A 3,128-nucleotide genomic window follows, 5' to 3' on the forward strand; every position below is an offset into this window, starting at 1 on the left:
GAGGGCGAGACCAGCAGAGAGGGCTGTGCTGGCTGTGGCTTTGCTCGGCCTGCCCCATCCATGCTGCAGTGGTGCGGAGGAGCAGGGAGCTGTGTAGGGCCAACCCCGGTTCCTGCCTCAGCTCCACCCGCCTTGCACCTGCAAGTGAAAGGTCTTAAGACGAGCAGGCCCAGGGCACCCTCTACTGCAGGGTCAGGTGGAGGTGCCTCCACCTCCCAAGGCTCACCCATGCCAGGGGCCCAGAACTTGAGAGGCCAGCACCAACTCTCCAGGGCCGAACGAAAACCAAACCCCAGGGCTTTGGACTCAAACCATCGAGAGGAAGCAGCAAGAGGTCCCAAAGGTACTTGAGTGACACAATGATCATCATTCTCTCCTCAGGGGCAGGACAGGGGCAGGGGAAGGTGAGTGGAAGCCCATTGCTCAGATAAAGAGCAGCTGCCACGGAGGGTAGCCCGTCGGCCTATGCCGGCGCTCACTGGTGTCTTCCTCTAGTGCTTGGGGCTGGCATGGAATCTGCTCAAATGCAGGCAGCTGAAGGTGAGCCCGCAGCCTGGTGATCCCAAGTGCCAACCATGAGGAAGTCTGGAGAAAAGACCAGGGAGCAGGGGCCCTCGTGAGGAGCAGGAATTGGCAGCAGGGGCCACCAGCAGAACACCAGAGGGGACAGTGGCAGGGGGAGGAAGATACAGCCAGGCTGGGTCTCAGCCCCAGCTGAGGGTCTCACCTCTTAGCTGGTGAAGGCTCCGGCCTGTTCCTGCTTTCGGTCACCACTTCATCCCTGGGTGATCGTGGGCCCGGTGCAGGGCTGGCTACAAGTGTTTGTTGATTGGTAACTGCTCATGAAAATGGCAACAGCACTAGCACAGCTTCACAAATAGAAACACATTTCACCAACACCCTTGCAGGAAGCCCTCCAGGAGGGCCAAGACCATCCCTGCTTTACTGTTATGGACGTGAGCCTCCGAGAGGCAGTGACTTAGATGCTCACCCAGCCAGGAAGGAAGGAACACACTCGACCCTCAGTCTAAGACCCCATCAGGCCACTAATAATTCTCCCTCCAAACCCAGCTCAGGTCAAGGCCTATCTTCACCCCCAAATCATCCCTAAGGCAGCCTCAACTCTCCACAGCACTACAGCCATCCTGCCCGGCCCCAGTGCTCCACAGACCCTAAACCCGAGCCCTCCCGGGCTTTGTTGGCCCCAAACCACCTACACTTGTTACGTGTTATTTTTACACTGGCGTTTCCCCTCAGCCTTGCATACTGTGTGGTGTTGTCTGACACCACTTTTCCAGCTCTCTGACACCAACTGGGGCTAGTGTCAGGTTCCACAGATTAAAGGGCTCAGTCCCACACTTCCGATGGAGTCACAGATGGGGTGCCCAGGCTACCCACACTTCCTGGGCTACCCACACTTCCTGGGCTACCCACACTTCCTGGCCAACTACACATTCAGGGGTTCCCATGACTCCACCCCCTCAGGTTCAATAATTTGCCTGAGTGACTCAGAACTGAAGATCACCCTGCCCTGACGCTTCCTGGTGTGGTGTCCTCAAGGATGCAGTGTGGGCAGGAACAGCCACGCTTGAGATGAACAGGGTTAGGGATGGGAGCGACTGGCAGCCACTGCAATCTCAAGTTTTGGGGTTTTTTTTGTTTTTTTTTTGAGACGGAGTTTTGCTCTGTTGCCCAGGCTGGAGTGCAGGGGTGCAGTCTTGGCTCACTGCAACCTCCGCCTCCCAAGTTCAAGTAATTCTCCTGCCTCAGCCTCCCGAGTAGCTGGGATTACAGGCACCCGCCATCATGCCCGGCTAATTTTTGTATTTTAGTAGAGACGGGGTTTCACCATGTTGGCCAGGCTGGTCTCGAACTCCTGACCTCAGGTGATCCACCTGCCTCGGCCTCCCAAAGTGCTGGAATTATAGGCGTGAGCCACCGCGCCCAGCCCTGAATCTCAAGTTTGTAAAGTGCTCCACCTCTGTCACTCCAACTCCCAGGAGTCACTGCTTGGGATTGAAAGTTTCCGCCCTCGAATCACCTGGTCTTTCTGGTGCAGGAGCAACCCCGAGGCAATCTAGGGGCCCTGCTCTAACGAATTCATTAGCATGAACTCAAATGGGCTGGAAAGGGGTTATGAATAACAAAAGACACTCACCACTCACGAAATTCCAAGGGTTGTAGGAGACCCGTGTTAGGAACCCAGGAGAAAGACCAAATATTTCTTAGTATCCCACACATACCCTTCCTTTAGTTCTCCAATTATCATAATTCTATTCATCCTTCACATTCCACCCTCACCTTCTATGAAAGTGCCCTGAATTTGCTGCAGGATAGATTGCTCCTGGAGTGCAGCTCTGGTGTGAGCTTTCAGAGGCAGCGCAGTGCCCTGGGCAGCCTGCGTAATCCACGACTGTCAGATCAAAGGGCAGTGTGACCCTGGCCCACAGTGGCAGGAGCTGAGTGCCACTGGCTTGGCCCCGGGAACCTGCGCATCTCCCCTCTGAGCCAAGGAAACAAACAACACAGACAACAGTGTCTCCCCGATGGCCCCATCCCCAGGGTGGAGGCCCTGCACCGGGCACTGCTCTGCGCGCGCGCTCCCCAGCAGCCAGCAGTGTCTGGAGGATACTGGAAAGCTTGGCAAGAGTAGGCTGAGCAGCTCCTCTGTGGACAGAAAGGGCATGTGGAGAAGCGGCACATCAAGCTCTGGTTAGGATCCAAAACCAAATGCCAGCTCCTAGGATCCCCAGACCAGGGTGTGAAACACACCAAGAGCACCCCAGACCCGCACCAGTTGTGTCGACTGTGACAGTACCCAGAGTGGAAAAAACATGAACTCAAACTGTGTTTTCCTCCACTGCTCTCTCAATACCAACAGACATCTGTGGCCAAATGTGTTGGGGATTTCTCCCCTGACACCAAGCAAGCAAGCAATTCTGCAGCCTACATCAGCTGGGTATCCTCCAATTCAATTCAGTGCTCACCCTACCTATAGTATCTGGAAATGGAATCCACAGGTTCAAGGCTCTGTCCCACAAGACCGCCGCCTCTGCCACAACATTGGACTGACCACCCTCTTTGGGTGGCATGATTTGCCAAGAGTGGCTCACAGAACTCAGGGAAAC

This window comes from Homo sapiens, chromosome 20 (assembly GCF_000001405.40).
Source record: "Homo sapiens chromosome 20, GRCh38.p14 Primary Assembly".
NCBI classification, from domain to species: Eukaryota; Metazoa; Chordata; class Mammalia; order Primates; family Hominidae; genus Homo; species Homo sapiens.